Source organism: Homo sapiens, chromosome 15, assembly GCF_000001405.40.
Source record: "Homo sapiens chromosome 15, GRCh38.p14 Primary Assembly".
NCBI lineage: Eukaryota > Metazoa > Chordata > Mammalia > Primates > Hominidae > Homo > Homo sapiens.
This window is the reverse complement of record NC_000015.10, coordinates 26133167-26159012: the sequence shown is the minus strand read 5'-3', so window position 1 is coordinate 26159012 and position 25846 is coordinate 26133167. Positions and strand designations below refer to the sequence as shown.

Here is a 25846-nt window from a genome sequence, read left to right as displayed (position 1 = left end):
ATTGACTGTCATTTCTTCTTCACAACCTGCAGACCAGAGAAGGATATAGTTATCACTATTTTACAGGTAAAAAACCTGAGACTCACAAAAGTTAAGTAACTTGTCCAAAATTACAGTCAGTGAATGGAAGGGTCTGGATTCCAAACCAGAACGCTCATTCTTTACCATTCTGCTGTACTTTAAGAATAGACCTGTAATTAGTATGGAGCTAAAGGAAGGGGAAATTCCTGGGGGAGTTACTCTAATGAGTAGGTGAGTATGATTTGTAATTAGCATATCAAGGATTTCTAAGTAAATTAGTGTTTCCTTCTGGAAGGGGCTTGAAACTTGAAAATGGAGTTCTGTTAGGTAGGGTTACATGCTCAGCTTTCCTATAAGAAGCCTCCGAGATTAACTCTGCACCTCACTGTCTGAGTCATCTCAGGCCCTATTATGGAGGTGAGAATTAATTAGATTTGCCTATGTGTGTTTCATCAAACTAAAAGAATAAGAAGCATTAATCACCATCCTCTTTTCTATACTATCAATTTAATTAATTTGGGGCTGGTTTCCCACTGAGTGGTAAAGCTTAGTGATTTTGTGATGTTAGACTCCCAGCTTCCCTTGAGCTCTGTGGGGGTGGGGGCCACTCCCCAGGCATCTGTCTACACTGGCGTTCTACTATGTTCTGGCAATGGGAGAGCTCACTGCGGAGGCTGCAGATCACCTGCATCAGAACCCTGCTCCTGCAACTCAGAAAGATTAGTTAACCTATCTCCATCTGCCACAGTTTTTCTATCTGAAAAGAAGAATCCCAACTTTTTAGGATTGACAGAAAGATAAACAGAGTTAATTCTTACCTATAGTGCAATCTCCATAATTGGTACCTATTACTATTATTGCCAGTTCTTGTACACAGGTTGCTCAATACATGTTTTGAATTTGGGTACTACCATTAATTGAATGCTTGGGTGTCTCAAAAATTCATATGTTGAGGCCCAATCCCCAGTGGGATGGTCTTAGGAGAGGAAACCTTTGGAAGGCGATTAGGTCATGAGGATAGGTCCCTCATGAATGGGCTTAGTGCCATTATAAGAAGATGCAGGAGAGAGTTTGCTCCTCTCTGTGCCCTCCACCATGTGAGGATACAATGAGAAGATGGCCAACTGTGAACCAGGTGGTGGGCCCTCACCAGACACCGAATCTGCTGGCACCTTGATCTTGGAATTCCAGACTCCTGAACTGCAAGAAATAAATTTTGCTGTTTAAGCCATCCAGTCTCTGACATATTTATTATATCAGCTTGAGGCGACTAAGATAAACATTAACAGTAAGAAGAGAAGGAAGGCAGCAAGGGAGAGAAGGAGAAAGAAGGAAGAACAAGGCATCTGGAAATTAGTTCTTTCTGGCAAGATTTTAGTTTCACTCTGAAAACTCTTTTTTAGAGCTCAAATGGCTTACTCTCCTTAAAGCTGGGTCTCCTTAAAGAATCCATCCTTGTCCAGGGCATTATAGGGCAGCGCAAGTGTCAGCTCTCCACAATGGAGTCAGCCCAGCAGCCACTGGAGAAACCCTGAAAACAGACTTGCGCTGACCTCTAACGTGTCTATAGCACAGCCAGCCCCATCCCTGGGTCATTAGCAGGCTTCATGTTGGCACAAAAGCTGTGTAATCTGGGTAACAATAACATGAAGAAAAAAACCCGACATCCTGGGGATGATGCCAGTGATCTGGGCACTGTAATTGCTATAATTAAAAGCAAACCCAGCACTGCAGCAAAAGTAGGTCAGTCATCAGCTTGGCACAGTCTGGATGAGAGTGGAAACCAAACATTAAAAAAAAAAAAGACATGAAGGTAAACAACGTTTTATAATAGTTCAGCAAGAAATCGACTGGGATTCCGCATAGTTGTGTCTGTATATTAAAAGGTAACCTCATCAGTGCCGTGGTAGCTCAGACAATATTTCATAACTGTGGAACTTCAGAGCACAGGGGACATTTTGTTCCAGTTCTTAGTTGATGCTGACTTTGTTTAAGTAACAAACACATCGATCCAAATACAAGCTCCACTTTTTCCTTGTCAGGAGACAATTGCCTTCATATCCAGAGCAGGGATGGGTGCTTGGTGAAATCCCTGACTGCACACCCGTGAGGTTTTCTTTACAACAAATCAATCATGGAAACTGAAGCTGGCTGGAGCCACAAGTGGAAACTGGAGAAAAGGGCTTATATGTCAGGGCCCCTTCCTGTGGCTTCTCTTTTAGATGGACAAAAAGAGAAGTTTCGTGCTAGTCCTACTAGCTCTGTGCAAGGAGTAGATGTGGGACTTTGTAAATAGACAAACGGGGCTAGAATCCCAGCTCCTCCCTCTCTACTTAGCTAAACTTGAGCAAGTTAATTCCTAAAGTCTTGTTTTTCCTCACTATAAAATGTATACAATAATAAATTGAGATCATATACACATATGATATGTATACATATACACATATTACATATATATACATTCTTGTTATGCTATTGGCATCCAATCAATGGAAACCACTGATTTCAGCGCTTTGCTCACATTTTTCCAGGGGATGTCTCCTACCTGCTCTAATGGCCCCCTACCTGCACAAGCCCAACTGGGCCTGGGTCTCAGGAGCAAGAAAAGCCCGTTATGCTTGAGACAAGAAGAAACAAAAAGCGAGCCCAGATTCTTTACCTGCACCATTGTCAGAACGTACTGAGAGAAAGAACACCAGAGTGGAGCTGTTGCCATGCCAGCAAGCAGGCATGTCACTCAAATGCACCCACACAGCTCCCCAAGCTGACACGACCCCTGAGTCAAATTTCTTCATCCCCTCCACCTGCCTGTCTATGAAAATGTTTTGTCTTAAAGTATATTCCCCCTGGAGGAATGAAACACCTTTTATTGGGTGTCAAATGCCCCTCTCTGGTGTCTAGCATGGCTTTTGCTTTGTTTTCTGCCTCTTCCAGGCACTTAGGAGGGACAGGAGCTGTGTCCTCTGCCATCTGCCCCACCACAGAATAGGGCAGGGTGGGCGTGAGGGTCAGAGATGCTCAGGAGCTTCCTGGGACTCATTTTGGTGACAAGAGGGGAGAAAGCAACTGACCCCAGGCACTTAAAAATGTCCCACGCATCTCTATAGCTCCATGCTGTACTTTTCCCCTGCTGGAACCAGACAGGCTGGACATCTCAGTCCCAAGAGGTATTCCCCACAGCCCAACACACCGGCTGTGGCAGATTACAGTCAGAGTGCCTCTTCAGGCCTGACCTTGACCCATCCCTCCTCACTGGGAAGGGCCTCCCTACAGGAACTCCAGCAACTCCAGCCAGGGGCTCAGAGACAGAACTCTGAGCTCCCTGGGCCTGAGCCCCTAGTGGGCATGGTGGCTGTAGTCTCCACAAACCAGCAGACTTAGTCTTTCCTCCTGCTAGTTCCGAGGAATCTGGGCAGTGCAAAAGAGTGGGTTTCCCCCCAGCATAGCCACCCCCTCCATCAAGGGGCAGCCAAAGTGCTTTGTTAAACTGGTCCTGCTCCCCTTGCCACCCAACTGGGTGAGATCCTCCAACAGGAGTTGTCAGACACCCTATACAGGAGCATTCCTGCTGGCATCAAGTTGGTGCCCCTTGAGGTCAGAAATCCCAGATGAAGGAGCAAGCAGCCATCTTTGCTATTCTTCAGCCTCCTTGAGTGTCATCTCCAGGTGCAGGAGTGAACCAGATGAATAGGGCCTGAAGGGAACCCCCAGCAAACCACAGCAATCCTACAGAAGAGAGATCTGACTATTGAAAGAAAAACAAACAAACAGAAAGCAACAACAACAGTGTCAACAAAAAAGTCCCCACAAAACCTCATCTAAGGATCAGCAGCCTCAAAGTTCAAAACTAGATAAACCCATGAAGATGAGAAAGAATCAATGAAAAAAAATGCTGAAAACCCAAAAGGCCAGAGTGCCTCTTCTCCTCCAAATGATTGCACCACCTCTCCAGCAAGGGCACAGAATTGAACAGAGAATGAGATGGATGAATTTACAGACATAGGCTTCAGAAGATGGATAATAAAAAACTCTGCTGCAGTAAAGGAGCGTGTTCTAACTCAATGCAAAGAAGCTAAGAACCTTGATACAAGGTTACAGGAGCAGCTAACTATAATAACCAGCTTAGAGAGGAACATAAATGATCTGATGGAGCTGAAAAACCCAGCATGAGAACTTTGTGAAACATACACAAGTATCAATAGCTAAATCAATCAAGCAGAAGAAAGAATATTGGAGATTGAAGACCATCTTGCTGAAATAAGCAGGCAAACAGGATTAGAGAAAAAAGAATGAAAAGGAATGTACAAAACCTCCAAGAAATATGGGACTATGTAAAAAGACCAAATCTACAATTGATTGGAGTACCAGAAAGAGATGGGGAGAATGGAACCAAGTTGGAAAACACATTTCGGGATATTATCCAGGAGAACTTCCCCAACCTAGCAAGGCAGGCCAACATTCAAATTCAGGAAATACAGAGAATACCACTAAGATACTCCACAAGAAGATCAACCCAAGACACATAATCATCAGCTTCTCCAAGGTTGAAATGAAGGCAAAAATGTTAAGAGCAACCAGAGAGAAAGATCAGGTCACCTACAAAGGGAAGCCCATGAGACTAACAGCAGATCTCTCAGCAGAAACCCTACAAGCCAGAACAGAGTGGAGGCCAATATTCAATATTCTTAAAAAAAAGAATTTTCAACCCAGAATTTCATATCCAGGCAAACTAAGCTTCATAAGCAAAGGAAAAATAAAATCCTTTTCAGATAAGCAAATGCTGAGGGACTTTGTCACCATCAGGCTTGTCTTGCAAGAGCTCCTGAAGGAAGCACTAAATATGGAAAGGAAAAACGGGTACCAGCCACTGCAAAAACACACCAAAATATAAAGACCAATGACACCATGAAGAAACTGCATCAACTAGTGTGCAAAATAACCAGATAGCATCATGATGACAGGATAAATTTATACATAACGGTATTAACCTTAAATGTAAATGGGCTAAATGCCCCCAATTAAAAGACACAGACTGGCAAATTAGATGAAGATTCAAGACCCATGGGTGTGCTGTATTCAAGAGACCCAACTCACGTGCAAAAACATACACAAGCTTAAAATAAAGGGTTGGAGGAAAACTTACCAAGCAAATGGAGAGCAAAAAAAAAAAAAGCAGGGGTTGCAATCCTAGTCTCTGACAAAACAGACTTTAAACCAACAAAGACCAAAAAAGATAAAGAAGGGCATTACATAATGGTAAAGGGATCAGTGCAACAAGCTAACTATCCTAAATATATATGCACCCAATACAAGAGCACCCAGATTCATAAAACAAATTCTTAGAGACCTACAAAGACTCCCACAAAATAATAGTGAGGGACTTTAACACCCCACTGTCAATATTAGGCAGATCAACAAGACAGAAAATTAACAAGGATATCCAGGACTCGAACTCAGCTCTGGATCAAGTGGACCTAATAGACATCTACAAAACTTTCCATCCCAAATCAACAGAATATACATTCTTCTCAGTGCCACATGGCACTTATTCTAAGATCGACCACATAATTGAAAGTAAAACACTCCTCACTCAGCAAATGCAAAAAAACTGAAATCATAACAAATAGTCTTTCAGACCACAGTGCAATCAAATTAAACTCAGGATTCAGAAACTCAATACGACACAAGTACAAAGAAATTGAACAACCTGCTCCTGAATGACTCCTGGGTAAATAATGAAATTAAGGCAGAAATCAAGAAGTTCTTTGAAACAAATGAGAGCAAAGAGACACAGCTCTGAGACACAGCTAAAGCAGTGTTAAGAGGGAAATTTATAGCACTAAATGCCCACATCAGAAAGCTAGAAATATCTCAAATCGACACCCTAACATCACAATTAAAAGAACTAGAGAAGCAAGAGCAAACAAATCCAAAAGCTAGCAGAAGACAAGAAATAGCTAAGATCAGAGTGGAAGTGAAGGAGATAGAGACACGAAAAGCCCTTCAAAAAATCCATGAATCCAGGAGCTGGTTTTTTGAAAAAATTAATGAAATAGATAGACTATTAGCTAGACTAATAAAGAAAAAAAGAGAGAAGAATCAAATAGACACAATAAAAAATGATAAAGGGGATATCACCACTGACTCCACAAAAATACAAACTACTATTAGAGAATACTGTAAACACCTCTATGCAAACAAACTAGAAGAAAAGGATAAATTCCTGGACACATGCACCCTCCAAAGACCAAACCAGGAAGAAGTAGAATACCTGAATAGATCAATAACTATTTCTTAAATTGAGGCAGTAATTAATAGCCTACCAAAAAAAAAAAGAAAAAAGCCCAGGACCAGATGGATTCACAGCCTAATTCTGCCAGAGGTACAAAGAGGAGCTGGTACCATTCCTTCTGAAACTATTACAAACAATTGAAAAGGAGGGACTCCTCCCTAAATCATTTTACAAGGCCAGCCTCATCCTGACACCAAAACCTCACAGAGACACAACAAAAAAAGAAAACTTCAGGCCAATATCTCTGATGAACATTGATGCAAAAATCCTCAATAAAATACTAACAAACCAAACCCAGCAGCACATCAAAAAGCTTATCCACCATGATCAAGTCGGTCTTATCCCTGGGATGCAAGGCTGGTTCAACATATGCAAATCAATAAACATAATTCATCTCATAAACAGAACCAATGACAAAAACCACAAGATTATCTCAATAGTTGCAGAAAAGGCCTTTGATAAAATTCAACATTCCTTCATGTTAAAAACTTTCAATAAACTAGGTATTGGTGGAATATATCTCAAAATAATAAGAGCTGTTTATGACAAACACACAGCTAATATCATACAGAATGGGCAAAAGCTGGAAGCATTCCCTCTGAAAACTGGCACAAGGCAAGGTTGCCCTTTCTCACCACTCCTATTCAACTTAGTATTGGACGTTCTGGCCATGGCAATCAGACAAAAGAAAGAAAGAAAGGGTATTCAAATAGGAAGAGAGGAAGTCAAATTGTCTCTGTTTGCAGACAACATGATTCTATATTTAGAAAACCCCATCATCTCAGCCTAAAAACTCCTTAAGCTGATAAACAACTTTAGCAAAGTCTCAGGATACAAAATCAATGTGCAAAAATGACAAGCTTTCCTATACACCAACAATAGACAAGCAGAGAGCCAAATCATGAATGAACTCCCATTCACAATTGCTACAAAGAGAATAAAATACCTAGGAATACAGCTAACAAGGGAAGTGAAGGACCTCTTCAAGGAGAACTACAAACCACTGCTCAAGAAAATAAGAGAGGACACAAACAAATGGAAAAACATTTCATCCTCATGAATAGGAAGAATCAATATCGTGAAAATGGCCATACTGCACAAAGTAATTTGTAGATTCAATGCTATTCCCATCAAACTACCATTGACATTCTTCACAGAATTAGAAAAAACAATTTTAAATTTCATATGGAACCAAAATAGAACCTGTATAGCCAAGACAATCCTAAGCAAAAAGAACAAAGCTCGAGGCATCACACTACCTGACTTCATACTATACTACAGGGCTACAGTAACCAAAACAGCATGATACTGGTACCAAAACAGACATATAGACCAATGGAACAGAACAGAGACCTCAGAAATAACAACATACATCTACAACCATCTGATCTTCAACAAACCTGACAAAAACAAGCAATGAGGAAAGGATTCCCTATTTAATAAATGGCACTGGGAAAACTGGCTAGCCATATGCAGAAAACTGAAACTGGACTCCTTCCTTATACCTTATGCAAAAATTAACTCAAGATGGATTAAAGACTTAAATGTAAAACCAAAAACCATAAAAACCCTAGAAGGAAACCCAGGCAATACCATTCAGGGCATAGGCATGGGCAAATACTTCATGATGAAAATGCCAAAAGCAATTGCAGCAAAAGCTAATTGACAAATGGGATCTAATTAAACTAAAGAGCTTCTGCATAACAAAAGAAACTGTCATCAGAGTGAACAGGAAACCTACAGAATGGGAGAAAATCTTTGCAATCTACCCATCTGACAGAGGTGTAATATCCAGAATTTACAAGTCCATTTTCATGCTGCTGATAAGGATGTACCCGAGACTGGGCAATTTACAAAAGAAAGAAGTTTAATTGGACTCACAGTTCCATGTGGCTGGGGAGGCCTCATAATTGTAGTGGAAGGCAAGGAGGTGCAAGGCACATCTTATGTGGATGGTGGCAGGCAAAGAGAACTTGTGCAGGAAAACTCCCCCTTATAGTAACCATCAGATCTCATGAAGCTTACCCACTATCATGAGAACAGCATGGGAAAGACGTGCCCCCATGATTCAATTACCTTCTACTGGGTTTCTCCCACAACTCATGGGAATTCAAGATGAGATTTGGGTGGGGACACAGATAAACTATATCAGAACTGAAACAAATTTACAAGAAAAAAAACAACCCCATCAAAGAGTGGGCAAAGATATGAACAGCCACTTCTCAAAAGAAGACATTTATGCAGCCAACAAAATATGAAAAAAAACTCAATATCACTGATTACTGGAGAAATGCAAATCAAAACCACAATGAGATACCATCTCACAGCAGTCAAAATGGCAATTATTAAAAAGTCAAGAAACAATGGTTGTGGTCAAGGCTGTGGAGAAATAGGAATGCTTTTAAACTATTGGTGGGAATATAAATTAGCTCAACCATTGTGGAAGACAGTGTGGCAATTCATCAAGGATCTAGAACCAGAAATACCATTTGACCCAGCAATTTCATTACTGCATATATTCCCAAAGGAGTATAAATCATTCTACTATAAAGATACATGCATATGTATGTTTATTGCAGCACTATTTACAACAGCAAAGACATGGAACCAACCCAAATGCCCATCAATGATAGAATGCATAAAGAAAATGTGGTACATATACACCATAGAATACTATGCAGCCATAAAAAGGAATGAGATCATGTCCTTTGCAGAGACATCGATGAAACTGGAAGCCATTATTCTCAGTAAACTAACACAGGAACAGAAAACCAAACACTGCATGTTCTCACTCATGAGTAATAGTTGGACAATGAGAACACATGGACACAAGGAGGGAAACAACACACACTGGGGCCTGTGGGGGTGGGGCGGGGGTTAGGGAGAGCACCAGGAAAACTAGCTAATGCATGTGGGGCGTAATACCTAGGTGAAGGGTGGATAGCTGCAGCAAACCACCATGGCACGCGTATACCTAAGTAAGAAAAGTACACGTTTGCACATGTATCCTGGAACTTAAGGTAAAATAAAATTAAAAAAAAAAAGTCCCACACAGAGATAATTTTACAAAAGTAAGGTGCTGATGGGGATGCTGGCACCCCCTGAAGTTTCGGTGCCCTCCTGGCATGCTGGGGCCCAATCCATGTGGGGCCCTCGAGAGCAGAGTCCCCACGAGGCCCCAGGACCCCCTGGCTGCTCAGCCAGTGGCAGGCCCAGGCGGGAATGAGGGGCCCATGTGGCTCCCCAGAGACACCATGTTTAGAACTCTCTCTTGACTTTTCTTTAGAATAGAATACTTTGACTCTCAGAAAGACTTCGTGTTGTAAACAATACCATTGGGTTTTGAGGATTTGCTCTAAGCCGTATCTACTATTAATAACATCAAACCGTAATCTGAGGAAAGAATTTCCAGAGTTTGTGTCTATTCAGGCAGTTTGCACACCATGGGGACCAACTCCTCAGGGCTAAATCTATTTTCTATTTTCTTACCCACATTTTTTTTTTCCAGACAGAGTCTGGCTGTGTCGCCCAGACTGGAGTGCAGTGGCAGGATCTCGGCTCACTGCAGCCTGGACCTCCTGGGCTCAAGTGATCTTCCTTCCTCAGCCTCCCAGGTAGCTGGGACTACTGGCATGCACAACCACACCTGGCTAATTTTCTTATCTAAAATTTTTTGTAGAAATGGGGGTCTTGCTATGTTGCCCAGGCTGACCTCGAACTCCTAGCCTCAAGTGATATTTTCTCACCTTTTATTTCAGAATGATCTTGAGCTGCATTCCCCTGAAGTGGACTCTGGTAATAAGATTCACCTGCATGTGACTCATCAGGGAAGGGTCCCCCTACAGGGAAAGCTATAAGAAGGCATGGGAAGCAGAAGAGGGAAGGAGAAGGAATCAAGCCAGAGGGCAACCTCAGACAAGTCCCCACCCACCTGGTCCCCAGGAGCTCTGGAGCTGGCTTACACCTCAGACTTTGTCTCCATACAGGCAAGAGAGCTAAGTATGCATTCTCTGCTCCAGTGATTCATAAGCCACCGTTGTCCTGGGAGGAGGCGAATTCCCAGACACTCCCAGCTCTCTGCGCAGGAGGCTGAAGAGAGTCGAGTAGTTTTCTAGCCTTTTTCTGAAAGTTTCAGGAGCTGTAGAAACCAAAGAACAAAGAAGCTGAGATAGGGGTGTACTGAAACTGAGGTTCCCGGATTTGGCAAGTGCACATGCAGGACAAATATTGCAAGGACCATGCTTGCACTAAAAATGGGCTTGCCGTTGATCTGACATTCACACATAACTGTCTCCTGTCTCGCATCTGGCAATTCCAGCCAGCAGAATCGGGGCAGGGAGAGTGGGGGCGGTGCCCAGCATCTGATGAGCTCAATGCCACCCCGAGGGTCTAGAGATGGTGCCGTGAGAGAGAGCTTGCTGGTCCACAGTATTCACAAAATGTGATCTTCATGCAAAAATGTGTAAGGAAGACGAGCTGAACTTTTCTTAATGCAGCCTACTTTTTTATGCACAATGCGGTAGAAAATTTCCCACTAGATTCCAGATTTGAATAGGGAGAGGCAAGTCTAATCCACTGTCCATGTTAAACTTTTCTTGGGTCCTTGGGACTGCTATGTTTCATTCTGCTTCAGGCTAGAAATCCTGAATTCCTTCCAAAATTGCTCCAATACTTTGCTTCTAGAAGGTTCCAAGCAACATCCTAGGCGTGAGACTTTCACGGGAGTTCCTTGGGCACGGACCTTGTCTATCTTGGTCACAGGTGTTTCCTGTCCTAGCGTCGTGAGGGGTGCTCGGTGAGTATTTTCTGCAGGCTGAAAGTGGAGCTCCCCTTTGCTGTCTGCCCTCTCAGATGTCATCATCCTGACATAAAATTTGCATTGAATTACATTGAAATAAATAATGAAAGAAAGGGTATCGGGACTTCTTATTGAATTGAGTGGAGTTTTGTTAGGAAAGTGTTTCCCCAGCTTCCTGTCTTTGTCCCTGATACCTGTTTCTTTCGGAGGCTCTTGCTCATAAGCACAGATTATTTTTCTGCAGATGCACCAAAAGGTCCCCTGGATCTTTCAGGTAGATATGAACTTGCCCAGTGCTAAGCAGCACCCTGTCCAAACCTAACATTTAGGGACATTGTATCAGAATTAAATAGGCAAGCAGCTCTTCATTCCAATTGTTTTGCCACAAGACACCAAACCCATTCAACGGACATCAAGGTGACTATGGAGCCCCCACATGAAAAGGGGAAAATGTCATCAAACCGACTGGCCATTTAAATTTAATTTTTCATTTTGAAATGATAATAAGATGTTGCAGAAATAGCACAGAGAGGCCCTATGTATCCTTTATCCAATTTTTCCAATGATTGTCTTTTATCTACAAGTAGTATAATGTCAAACTGGGGACGGGGCACCTTATGACTGCTGGGTGGGGCAGGAGACTCAGGCTCCCCCCTAGAGAGCTGATGCTGGGGTCAGCTGCAGCTGCCTAGGCAAAAACTAAGCTTTGTGCCTAAAAAAACTGCAGTTTAGCAGGGGTAAGCTGCAGCTTTTCTATGGGGTTTAGCTGGAGTTTTTGCCTAAAATTTATCACCCTGTCTTGCTAGGCTGTCCCTTTCCTGGCCCTTTAACTAGAGGGGGCTGGCTTTTCTTGGGACTTTTCTTGTCTGTGTTTATTGGTGTTTGGGGTTACTAGCTACTCCAGAAGACAGTCCAGGACATACAAGTCAAAAAGAAAGCCAAATGAACTGAACCCTGGGACATTCCTCAGTCTCCAGGTCCCTAGTAGCTCTGCTCTTTCCTGTACACCTTGCAGTCTTATATTTGGTGTATACATAATGTCCAGAGATGGGATTTTAGCTTTACTTAGCTTTACTTAGTGGAACACATAGGGAAAGTTGTGTTTGCTCCTTCCTATCCCCAAAAATGGAAGCCTCACAGACTGCTTTTTCTGTACTTGGCTGTTTAATTTCTCCAAGGAGGTAAGTCTTTTCTTTCTTTATTACATGCGTTCTATCCAATTAGTGTAATACAGAGTGAAGCTGTTAAAAAAAAAAAAGAAAACCCACATTTGTAAAATAACAAGGCATTAGCTATTGTAGCAGATAATAACCTTGTTATTTTAAATAAAGAAAAAAAAAACCAGTGATGAGGTCATCCCTGGCCAAATGGAGTTCGCAGCATACATCTTTACATGCCACCCCGTCCTCCAGCCCCCTGGCATTTGTATTTAATCTGAATATCATAAGTGTTAAGGATTTTCCTCTCAATGGAACTGGGAGCATAAGCATAAGAAGCCCTAATGAACTGACAAGGTTTCAGCCAGGCTTGCTTCTGTTGTCATGGTGACAGCAGAAGGAAGGTGGAGCTTTATGAATGCCTTGAATCTTTTATAAAACCAGTCCACTGGGCTAACTTATTTTCCTCCTGCCCCCGACCACCTTGATTCACTCCACAGACACCCACAGTACGTAAGACCAGGACTACTGTCCCACATGAACCTATTTGAGTAATAGTTTCTACCAAGTAGTGGTAGTACCTATATATTCCTTTTAAATAAAAAGATCCTTTCCATCTATAGAGCAATTAAAAAAATTCTCCAATCTAACAATTGATTCAGATGAGCATCAGTGAATGCTAAAACCCTTAGAGGAATGGCAATTGGGAAATAAGATATTTGCAAGGTGCCAAAGAGTCCCTGCAGAGATGACTTGCTGATTGCAAAAGGATGGTGCATCTTCGTGATGGAGAATCTGTCAGTTTCCACCTGGGACAGCCAGATGTTATGCGCTTCCAGATGAGATGAGATATGAAGTGCACAGCACTGCCTAGGAAGAATTCTTGCCAAAAATGTTTACCCTGAATCTAAAAAGTCACCTAGACTCAACTTTAATTCACAGAAAATAATATAAATAGAGAGAAACATTAAATACCCAATAAGGAAAAAATCCTATAATTCCAGAGTGTTGAACACTAGACACAACAATCAGACCTGACTTCAAAAAATAAAGATGATGGAGAAGAAAAGCATGGACTATTTTAGACTAAAAGAGACTAGAGTCCCATACAAATCTAATGCAATGAGCTAACTTTGAGTAAATCCTGGCTGGGGTAAAAACACTCTAAAGGACATTTGGAAAATCATGAGTAAAATTAAATATAGTCTGAAAATTAGATAAAATTCAAGACATTAATTTTCTTAAGTGTCATAACGGCATTATAGTTAGGTAGGAGAATATCGTTAATTCTTCAGAAATGTATTCTGACATATTTAGAGTTGAAGAGATATCATATCTCTTCAAATGGTTTGCATTAAAATCATTCGAATGGCTTACATAGAAAATATGGCAAAATATTAACAATTATTAAATCCACTTAGAGCAGGGGCTCAGCAAACCATGGCTCATGGACCAATTCTGGCCAACTCCCTACTGTCTATGAGCTAAGGATGGATTTTACTGTTTTCAATGTTGAAAAAACTGGAAAGAAGAATAATGTTTTATGGCATGTGAAAATTCTATGTAATTCCAATTTCATTGTTCATAAAGACCTATTAGAACACAGTCATCATGGCTCACTTAGGGACAGTTAGGGCTGCATTTGTACTACAGTGTCAGAGCTGGGTAGTTGAAATAGAGACTACGACTTGCAAAGCCTGAAGTTTATGAGACTGACAGCCACAAGTGTTAGGAGGTGCAACAACTGAATGTTCATGCACTACTGCTGAGAGTGCATCTTGTACAATCACTCTGAAAAAGCTTTATTTGTTCGGCTTTGGTTGGAAATGTGTAGGACCAATCGGACCCAGCAATGCTAGTCCACATGCCCAACAGGAATGTGCCTGTGTGCAGGAACAGTCGAGGCTACAGAAACATTTATAGCAGCATTTTCATGATAGCCCCAAACCATATGCATTATACAGCATGAAAATGAATGAAATGTAGTGGCATGCAATGTGGATGGATATCACGAGCATAATATTACTGATCAAAAAAAGCAAGACAAAAAACAACACAGACTGTCTAATTCCCTTTTTATAAAAAGTTCAAAAGCAGGAAAAACTTAAGTCTACTGTTAGAACTCAGCATAGAAGTCACCTTTAGGGAGATGTGAAGGGCTAACACCATCACAGGGCACAGGGAAGGATTCTGGTGTGCCACCAATACTCTGTTTCCTAACTTCAGTGGGTTATTTTGTAATGATTTTTTGGACCACTCATTTAAGTTTTCACACTTTTTTGTAAGTGTACTTCATTTCACCATTTAAAAAGTTAAAACTGGGCTGGGCACAGTGGCTCACACCTGTAATCACAGCACTTTGGGATGCCGAGGCAGGAGAATGGCTTGAGACCAGGAGTTCAAGACCAGTATGGGCAGCAAAGAGAAACCATGTCTCTACAGAAAGTAAAAATAAAATAATTAGCTGGGTATGGTGGCATGCACCTGTAGTCCTAGGAACTTGAGAGTTTGCGGCAGGAGGCTCACTTGAACCCAGAAGTCTGAGGCTGCAGTGAGCTGTGATCTCATCACTGCACTTCAGCCTGGGCAACAAACTGAGAGCCTGTCTCAGAATAAAATGAAACAATAAAGTAAAGAAGGGAAGAAGACTAACATGTGATTCAGCATCTATTACATACTCTAATGTTGTTAGGCACATTCCACGTCCCTCCTTCAGCCCTTTCAGCATTATTATCCATAATTTTGCAAATGATGAAACCAGCTTTCAGAGAGGGTAAGTGCATTATGTACCACCTATAAAAAGTAAAGGGAGAGCTAAATGTGATTTCTTTTTCAGTGCATACTGCCTCAGCTCAGTAATCCATTTAACTGTGTTCTCACCTGAGCTTTGCTATTTTTAAGGATGGCAATTTAAATAATGAATATGCATTATAATATTTTGTAGGTCATATTGATACAGACTTAAACATACACTATGTATATATTCATGTTTATGCACATTCACATATTTGAATGTGAAAAACAAGGTCCAGTTATTTGAAAAGGCCACTTAATTTTAAACAGTTGAATGGTGGTATGAGATGACCAACGTTCAAATTATTTTTCCCTTTTTTATTTAGTGGTAAGTTCATGGGAAAATCAAGAGATGTGGATTATTATTTCTCTGCTCATGGTTTATCGGATAAATTTTAGAAAATCCTTTAGACTCCCTGTACTTTAATGTCTTCATTCCAAAAAGAGAAATTATACAACCCCTCCTCCCTCATAACACTGCTGTGAGAACATTGGAGCAGGAGCATAATAAGACTTTATTGAAAGCACCACCCTGTAGAAATGCAAAGAACCACCAGAAGCTGAGGTATGGCATTTTGCAAGGATCCACATTGCTCCCATGTGCTACACAGGAGCAATCATGAACAAGCAGAAATTTGTAACTATTTGAAAGATAAATGAATCTGAAAGGGGAAATAGAAATGAAATTGTCTTTCTCTAGTCAATCTTCCAAATGAGAAAATGTGTTTCTGTGTCTTCATCTAAAAGCAAGTAAATCAGTAGTTTGATATGTCATGTGATTCTTGAAGAGAAGGGAGTTAATAGTCTAAAACTACGTTTCTTTCTGTGTTCAAGTTGCTAAGTGGAATTGATGTAAAGAATGTTGCTGCTGAAACCAGTGGATACTTTGAACAAGTGTCTATGACGTTTAAATTATGTCCCAAGCATCTTACAGGCACTTCTGGATAGTACAGTTCACTTAATTCTAACAACAGGAACGAGGGTACTGTGGGCTTCATTTCAGAGAAGAGGAAACTGGGATTTGGAGCTGAAGTAACTTGACCAAGAGCAGATGGCAGGTGAATGATACACTCAGCACTTGAACTCAGATTTTCTGATTCCGATTTCAGGATTATAGTCATAAAAAACTTTAAAAAATCATTTATCACGTAGAAAAATAGATCCAGTGCTTTGCTTCTTGGCCTTTTGGCTAAGATCAAGTGTAGATCCAGAGAAGGCAACCCACTGTTACAAGGACATTCTGGTGAATGCATTAATACTAATTAACTCAGAAACCTTCCCTCAGTTCAAAGTTCTGTGCTAGACAATCATGGAGTGCAGAGAAAGAAAGAAAGAGAGAGAGAAAGAAAGAAAGAAAAAAAAAGAGAAAGAAAGAAGAAAGAAAGAGAGAAAGAAAGAGAGGGAGGGAGGGAGGGGGAGGGGAGGGGAGGGGAGGGGGAAGGGAGAGGGAGAGGGGAAGGAAGGAAGGAAGGAACGATGGAAGGAAGGAGGGGAGGGAGGGAGGGAAGGAAGGAAGGAGAGAGAGAAAGAAAGAGAGAGAAGGAAAGAAAGAAAGAAAGAGAGAAAGAAAGAAAAAGAAAGAAAGAAAGAAAGAAAGAAAGAAAGAAAGAAAGAAAGAAAGAGTGGGTTTAAATGCTGGACCTGGTTAAATAATCTGATGATGGAAGATAACATGAGATTTAGAGAAATCAGTAAAATTAATTATGATCCAAAGTATCAGAAATATTTATTAAATCACCAAACCTCTTAGACTGGATTCCTGTTGCATTAAAGGCTGAGACTCCAGCCTGTGACTGACCTTCTAGGGTGTCCTACACAGATCTAACTCAATGGACTCACATCCTTCCCATGTCCAGGCCAAGTTTCCACTTGAAAATTATTCTGTGAGTTAAGATCTTACTCAGCATCAAAGACATCCCTAAAAATAGCTTCACACATTTATTATAGACTTCCTTTTCAACAAAATGTTAAAAACTCTTTCTAAGAGAACCTCTAAAATTCACTTAACATTTGTTAACATTTTTATGATTAATATTTAAAAAGCACAGATGGAATTAAGGAATATAATAAATAATACTTAGGAGAAATAAATCATGCTATTTCTTTCTGTACAATAAACTAGTTTTCCCTCTAGTAACACTGGATTTTCTCAGTAGCTTTACATTTTCTTCACTATCTTCATTCAATATTAGCAACCAAGAGTGGATGCACATTTAATTCTTCAAATACACTGGAGGTTACAGCTCCATGGTAGGCCAAACTAATTCTGTTTTTACATTGACTTTTGTTAAGTGCCATGAGATAAACATGATTCGCAGAAAATATAGAAGCTTGAGTTGTAACAACAGATATTGCAGGGCTTCATGTGTGGTCTGGACCTTACCAACAGCATTCATGAAACAATAAATAAATTCCAATTAAAATATAAGATGTGTCTGATAAATTATGAGGCTATAACCTTAATGGCCCTGTTGTTTTGTAACCATATAATCCAGCTAATTGGTAGCTCAGGGACCAGCCACAAGCCCAATTACCTAGTGAGATAAATTCATGCTTGTATTAAAGCTGAGGAGATCCCTAAGAGACTTGGGAAAGACCTGCCCTTTAGGGAGGAGAACAAATAACTTCTTTGTAGATATCTGGAAGGGAATCTCACAGGCTTTCGCTGGTTGACCTTGTGGGAATTCACTAGCATTTGTATACACAAAGGTAACTGCTCCTCTAGAATATGTTGAAAAACACCAGCTTTCCAGCAAAATCTCCAGTGATACTTCTCTGGCCAAATCAGCTCCAGCCACACTTTCTTTCTCACTGCAGGGCCAAGTTTAACTTGCTTTTCTCTTCTCTGCACCTGCCACCTCCCACTCCATTCCTGAGGATGGTCCCTTCTTCAAAGACTGAAGCCAAAGTGGATACGATCTTCCCAATCCTGCTTTTCTTCTCTTCTAAAAATAAGCATATTTTTATTTAACTTAAACTATGCAATGCTAATCTCTAAAGTGAATCAAAGAGAGGAAAATAAAATGACAAAATAAACTCATAAAAGTTAGACAAGATTCCCAAACCTACAGATTTCTTGCAGCCTTCATCTCCAAACTACAGTCCTGACTCCCTTCCTAGATGATACCTTAGTCCATTGGTGTTGCTATAAAGGAATACCTGAGCCTATGTAATTTATAAAGAAAAGAGGTTTATTTGGCTCACAGTTCTTCAGGCTGTATAAGAAGCAAGGCAACAGCCTGTGCCCCTGGTGATGGCCTCAGACTGCTTCCCTCCTGAAGAAAGGCAAAAAGGAGCTGATGTGTGCAGACATCACATGGTCAGGGAGGAGGCAAGAGAGAGGCGGGTGGTGCCAGGCTCTTTGTAAAACCCAGTTCTCACAGGAACAAATAGAGCAATAATTCACTCATTACTGTGAGGAGGGCACCAAGTCATTCATGAAGGATCCATCCCCTTCATTCATGAAGGATCCATGACCCAAACACCTCTCCTTCAGTCCCACCTCTAACATTGAGAATCAAATTTCAATATGAAGTCTGGGGACACAAACATCCACACTATAGCAGGTATTAACCAGATCTCCTTTCTCCTCAGATCCTTGTCCCCCATCCCACCTTTTTCTCCACTTCCTCTTCCTGCCACTTTCCAGCAATGGGTTGGAAGTCTAGATTGAAGATCACTCTTTTTTTTTTTTCATCTCCATCTAGGTTGGCTCAGTGGGGTGATTCTGTATATCAATATAAACCTCATATATCTATCAGAATCCACTTCAAAGGGCTCAATTGCTCTCCAAATGCAAAACTTTAAAAGACGGCAACATTTCCATCCACAATTCAGATGCAAGGCTAGGTCCAGTGGTTTCAATGGGAAGGGAACCTATGTGATATGATTTGAGAATGATTCTCATAGAGGCTGTCCTCCAAAATGTATGTCACTTTTATTTCTTGGTTCTTAAAGGCACCCCTGAGCATGAAATATAAATTTCCCCCTGAGGATTTATGCCTTATGTTTCTAGAGGGACATAGAGAAGACAGATAACTGTAAGTATTTAAGACAGTTTGCCCCTCTTCCCAAAATATTTTCTCCCTAACTCCTAACTTTTACATGAGTATGTCGTTCTACCAGCAGTTCTGATTCAGTTGTCCAGAAGATGTTGGCACTGAAGCCCTTTGATTAGTCTCACACAGTAGTTAATTAAGGGTATGGTCAAAAAGTGTCAAGCCAACCTCAGTTATGCCTTCCTCCCAACAGTCCAAGAATTTAGTCAATTTTAAGTAAGTCCCAGAGATACAGTGTTTTTCAGATAGCCAAGATGTAGTCTAAGGTCAGACTACTATCCGTGACAACCCACTCAAAGGTATTTAGATTTACTTTCTGATCTTTGGTGTCATTGTCAATAACTAGAGGGGCAACAGATGGGCCACAAAGCATGCCCATTTCTAATGGAGCAACATTCCGTGGCCCACGTACAAACACAGAAGCCAAAGAGACACAGGTCCCTCCAGTTTGGGATTCATTGTTTCACAGTGGTTTGGTAAAGTTGCATGGACCATGTCACTGAGTTGTTGCAGCCTCAGTCACTGCCCGTGGCACATCCCAAGGCCTCTTGGATATGTGGAGAAGCACACGCACATGGATGGCCTTTGGGTCTGTGCATGTTCACAGCTGAGAGCTGAGGTTGATGGCACCAGGCACAGCAGGATCAGGACAAGAAGGTGTGTTCACGTGAGCTTATTGTCTTCATAGCTCACAGACAGGGTACAAACCCAGGAGCAGGTCGGATTGTCAGCTGCAGCCACTGTTTGACTTAGCCATTGTTGCTGGATCTGGGGAACAAAGAGAGTGTTAACTGCCACCAACACCCATGGTCTAAGGTGTTTCCTCCTTAGTTTCCAGGGTCCTTTCTCCTCTTATACCACCTAAATCAGCAGGTCCCATCCAGTTCCTATAGTTTATCTTTTCTCCAGTCATCCGCTCCTTCACCAGTCCCTTTTTCTGGAAGCATCAAGGCAGAATTCCCACATTTCAAAATAGCTCAGTATGATTTTACATATTCCTACTCAAAGCAATGAGAGAAAATGGTCCCTTTCTAGGGACAGCTGTATTCAGTGACCAAACTGGTGTACGGACCTAGAGGAAGTGAGAGAGGTAGAGTCAGAAACCTTTCTGAATAAATTTTCTAGAAGGCATTCAGGTGCTTATCTCTACCAGACATGGAGGAATTTTTGGGGAACATGGAATGTCCATTAAGTACATTGGTCCACTGATAGGTGGCCTTTCTGACAAAAGTGACCTTTATGAAAAATAGGTGTCCTTTGTGACTGAACAAGGTCCAGAAAGCTGATAGCACCACACAACTGAGGATCAAGAGCCCCTGTGGCATGGCTGCAGTTGGTGAGAGCAACACTATTAGCCAGACTTTCTAGACCTCAGCACTACTACCACTTGGGATCCAACAGTTCTCTGTTGGAGGAGCTGCCTGTCCATCGTAGGGTGTTTATCAGCATCCCTGGCCTCCACACTCTGGATGCAATTGCATCTCTTCTGAAATCGTGACAACCAAAATGGCTCCAGATGGTGCCAAATGTCCCCAGGGGAACAAAATAGCCCCCGGTGGAGCATGTTGTCTGCATCAGCAGTGTCCCCAGCACTGAGGACACAAATCTGAAAGCTGCAGGAAGATGTGTACTGACAAATAGGTCTTCTGAGCACACTCTGATAAAGCTAAATGCAGAGCACCAAGGAGGGCAAGGGGCACCACAAGGGCCAGACGTGGGAGGGAGTAGAGGGCCGGGGTGGGCTCAGCTAGCTTAAAAAGGAGGAGATAGTTTTGTGCAAAGCCACAGATGTCACCTGTCCTTTCAGGAAACTGTCAGAAAAGACATCAAGGCAAAGGGAAAAGATCATGGCCTTAGGGTCTAATCCTTGGGTTTGCATGTTGCTTCCACAACATTAGGACAACTGTACAATGTTGGACAAGTGATTTGGCTCTTCTGAGTTTCAGTGTCCTTATCTGAAATGCCCAGGTAATAACAGTAGCTCCTGGGACCTGTGTCAGGGCTGTTCTATGTTGGGATATGGTGAGTTGGTAACTGGCAGCAATACTTGGTAATTCAGGCCTGCTGGAACAATGCGTGAGAAAAGTGTAGAAAAAGATGAAGCAGTAAGGGAGAGAACAAGAGCCTTTTTATGGTTTTTATTTTGCTGTGATGGCTGGGCCATGGGAGAAGTTCATGCATAGAAGATGTGGAACCATCTGTATTTTAGTAAGATTTGTCTGACAGCAGTGTGAGGAACCATTGCAGGAGGCAGGACCAGAGTTGGAGACTCAAGTCAGAAAACCCCTGCCACAGTGTTGGCTTGGAAGTGATAAGAGTCTGAGCAGAAGCAGTGGATGATGGGAGGGAAAGGGAAGGAGTGGTTCTTTGAAGGAAAAAATGGTCCGAATTTGGAGAAACACTTGATATAGAATATTAGGGCAAGGAAAAGGAGGAGAGGGAGGCAGGGAAACAGAGGAAGAGAAGGGAAGAAAAACAGGAAAGTGAGAAAAACCCTGAGAGGTATCCATTAGCTTTAGAATTAAGGGATCAGTTAGTGAACTTGGAAAAATCAATTTCATGAGACTGAGAAGCAAGCATGACTTCTCCCAAACAGCATGTGTATGAACAACTATATTCACTGCCTCCACCTATCCCTGAGAATGTAAGGTATTCAAGTAAATGCACGCCCTCCACATCCCCATAAATGTGCCCCGTATACCCATAGGTCTCACCCTCCATTTTTACTGAATAAATAGTAAAAAATGTAAAGTAAATGTACAATTTTTAATGTCCATAATACTTATTTGCCCATACATATCAATTGAATCAGCACTCATTCATTGAACTGTTTCATTATTTGCTTTCTCACTAAGTTACGCTCATGGTAAAGATGAGATTTTTTCAACTGGGATTTTTTAAAAAATAATTTATCAGTCATTCTAACTAGAACAATGTAACACAAATGATAACACAGAGGTTAAAACGTCATTGAAAAATATTTTCAGACTAGCAGTTTGGTTGTGCTTAATATCTTTGAGGCAAGAAAAAACAGGGGCATTAAAAGATATTTGCTGTTATCATGTGTTAAAAATGGAATTAAACCAGAATTATGATGGAAACAAAAAACTCCACAGCTGCTTTTCTATCAGTTGTATGGAGAAAAATCAAGTATTAGCTTAACAACTTCTTTCGATATCCAAAGCAATAAAATTACTATATTTAAACAAATTTAAATAATGTTTAAAAATTACTTTTAAATCCCTTTCATAGGATTTGAAATGATAGCTATACAAAATGTATTTAATCGTCATATTCAGAAATAATTTATTTCTTTTAGATTCTTGTTGTAATGTTATTAAAAATATGCATGCTGGCAGTTTATATATTTACTATTGAATGTCATTTTCTTGCTATATTTAAGGGATAAATAATTATTACTTGCATAGTGAAGGGAAGTATAAATCATTATCTTAAAAGGAATAAATGACAAACATTAAAGTACTATCTGGGAAGAAAGTAACATTTTTTTAAGTCTAATAAAAATTATTATTTGTGGCCAGGAATGGTGGCTTATGCCTGTAATCCCACCACTTTTGGGAGGCCGAGGCGGGCAGATCACCCGAGGTCAGGAGTTTGAGAGCAGCCTGGCCAACATGGAGAAACCCAGTCTCTACTAAAAATACAAAAAAATTAGCTGGGCGTGGTGGCATGTGCCTGTAATCCCAGCTACTCGGGAGGCTGAAGCAGGAGGAGAATAGCTTGAACCCAGGAGGCGGAGGTTGCAGTGGGCTTAGGTCACGCCACTGCACTCCAGCCTGGGCAACAGAGTGAGACTCCATCTCAACAACAACAAAAAAATTATTATTTGCTAAGAATGTATGTGCTATTGACTAATTCTATGTGGTTATCAGTAAGTGTATTTTGATCTGCAGATGTAAGGCAGTGACATATTTATTTTATGTCATTTGATGTGTCAGTTTATTTCTAAAGAGAATTAAGGACTCTAGAATGAGTATTTTACTCACTATTCTAAAAGGCAGATACTAGACCCTAAGTCAAGCCTGTGTAGTAGGGCTGATAGCCTTTGGGAGGTTGCTGTGGGCTGGGTGTGTGCTGATGCTCTTCCCTAGATCACAGCTCCCGCCTTTCAGCTCTCACAGCCCATCCAGCCCACTCCTTTCCTGGATGTGTATATATACGAGAAATGCACGCACACCCCTATGGCATACACAGATAGCTCATTGCCAGAGCCTCAGGGGTCTTTTGTTGGCCTCTCCATAATTATGATCCTCTCCCTCCCTCTACAAGTCACTATTACTGATTTTGTGATAAATACTTCTCCATGCTTTTATTTATTTTTATTTTTTATTATTTTTATTTTTATTTATTTATTTATTTTGAGACGGAGTCTTGCTCTGTCTCCCAGGCTGGAGTGCGGTGGCACGATCTCGGCTCACTGCAACCTCCGCCTCCTGGGTTCAAGCGCTTCTCTTGCCTCAGCCTCCTGAGTAACTGGTATTACAGGCATGTGCCACCATGCCCAGTTAATTTTATTTGTATTTTTAGTAGAGACAGGGTTTCTCCATGTTGGTCAGACTGGTCTCAAACTCCCGACCTCAGGTGATCCCCCCACCTTGGCCTCCCAAAGCATGCTTTTATTTATAATTTAACCAGCTATGTATGTGTGAAAGGAAAATAAATCTCGGGGCTCCCAAATCACTAGGCTAAAGAGAAAAATTAACCCGGGAACTGCTTAGGGCCAACCTGCCTCCCATACTATTCACAGTCATTACTTTCCTCACTGAGATAAATGAATATCTGATTGGCTCCTTTGGAGAGGCTAACCAGAAACTCACAAGAATGCAACCGTTTTTTCTCTTATTTACCTATGACCTGGAAGCCCCGCCCCGCCACAAGCCTTCCCGCCTTTGCTTCACATTGTCCCGGCTTTTCCGACTGAACCAATGCTCATCTTACATATGTTGATTGATGTCTCATGTTTCCCTAAACTGTATAAAATCAAACTGTGCTCTGACCACCTCGGGCACATGTCGTCAGGACCTCATGAGGTTATGTCACCGGTGTGTCCCCTACCTTGGCAAAATAAACTTTCTGAATTAACTGAGACCTGTCTCAGGTTTTCGGGGTTCACATATATATCCTCACACACATCATCCCATCATTCTGCCTGTTTGGGAACTACATATGATCTGCAGGGATGGAATTGCTTGCTATTTTTTGCCTTGTTTCCCTCCCTAAATATGGAAATTCAACCTTGTTATTCTGTTTAGAATGAAAGAATTTTATTTATGTCCATTGATGTGTAATATTGGATCCCATGAATATGCCACAATTTATTTATGTGTTTTTACTTGCAGTAAATACTTGGGTTCTGGATTGGGGTTATGTCAAACATGCCACCGAAGATTCTTGCACACGTTATGCTGGTGTACATATATGGAAGTGTCTGTGAGTACACACGTCACGGAGGAACTGCTGTGCCATAGGGGATACACACCCTCAACCTTGGCAGATGATGCTGAGCTGCCTTCCAGAGCAGCAGTGCTGGTTTGCACTCTCAGAAGCTTTGTAGAGAGTTCCAACTGCTCCACTTTCTCACCCACGCTTGGTATTTCCAGACTTAAGTTTTTGCCAATGAGCTTGTATATGTAATGGTGCCCTACTGTGGTTTTAATTTGCATTTCTTTTCTTGCTGCAAATATCAGAGCCCCCTTTCTTCTGTTTATTGGCCCTTTGAGTTTCTTCATTTGTGGAGTATATCTCCGAAGTCTTTGGCCCATTTGTTTCCAAGGAGTCTTTTTCTTATTGATGTGTAGATGTTCTCTAGATGTTTCAAATGTCAGTCCTTTGTTGCAAAGTCTCAGTCTCTCTCTCTCTTTATGCCTTGCCTTTTCACTCTCTTAAAGGTGTTTTTTTAATTAACAAAAATTCTTAATTTTAATGTAGTCAAATTTATTTTGTTTAATGCCTTTGGTGTTTTATTAAGATGGGTCTCCACATAATGAAGGTGGAAAAATAGGTTCTCCTGTATTGTCTTCTAAAAGATTTATAGCTTAGTTTTTCACATTCAGTTGTACAATTTTTTCTTAAAATGATTTTCTTTTATAGTGTTATGTCTCTTATTGAAGATAGTTCATATTTTTTCTGTATGGATACTATATGCCCAGACACCCATGGCTTTGGGGGCCATTTCTGTCATATATCAAGTGTCAATGTATTCATGGGTCAGTTTCTGGATTCTCCAACCTGCGCCCCTCGTCTATTTGTCTATCCCCAGACTTAAGGCAAGGTATCACATTTATTATTGTTTTATAATCACCGCTGATATCAGGTGGTCCTCCCTCCCTATTTTTCTTTGGCAATTGTAGGACCTTTGCATTTTGACATGAATTTTTAAAACAAATTTTCAGGTTCTTTGCAACACCTGCTGAGATTCTGAGATGTGAATTGGCATCTTCCATATGGAGTCTTCCAGTCCATGAGCATAGTGTATGTCTCCATGTAATGAGATCTTCGCTAATGTATCTAAACAAAGTTGTTGCTGTTGCTGTTTTCTCTATAAGTCTTGCATATCTTTCGTTAGATTTGTTGCTAGGTACTTGATATTTGGGATGCTATGTTAAGCAGTAAAAATGTAAATTTTGCTTGCTAATAGTGTTTTTCTGATAGATGGGCTTACAATTGATTTTTTACATTGACTTAGTATTTAGCAGGCTTGTTAAAC

At 41.1% G+C, this 25846-nt stretch overlaps 1 long non-coding RNA gene across 2 annotated transcripts in view; it reads left to right on the top strand.

Moving 5' to 3' along the window:
* The first annotated feature begins 16014 nt into the window (after positions 1–16014).
* Positions 16015–25846, top strand: part of LOC105370739 (uncharacterized) — a 53368-nt gene continuing 43536 nt past the window's right edge. For both annotated transcript variants that reach the window (XR_932004.3, XR_932005.3), the window contains exons 1-3: positions 16015–16119; positions 19019–19101; positions 24480–24570. This is a non-coding gene — a long non-coding RNA (uncharacterized LOC105370739). The remainder of the gene's footprint in view (positions 16120–19018; positions 19102–24479; positions 24571–25846) is intronic.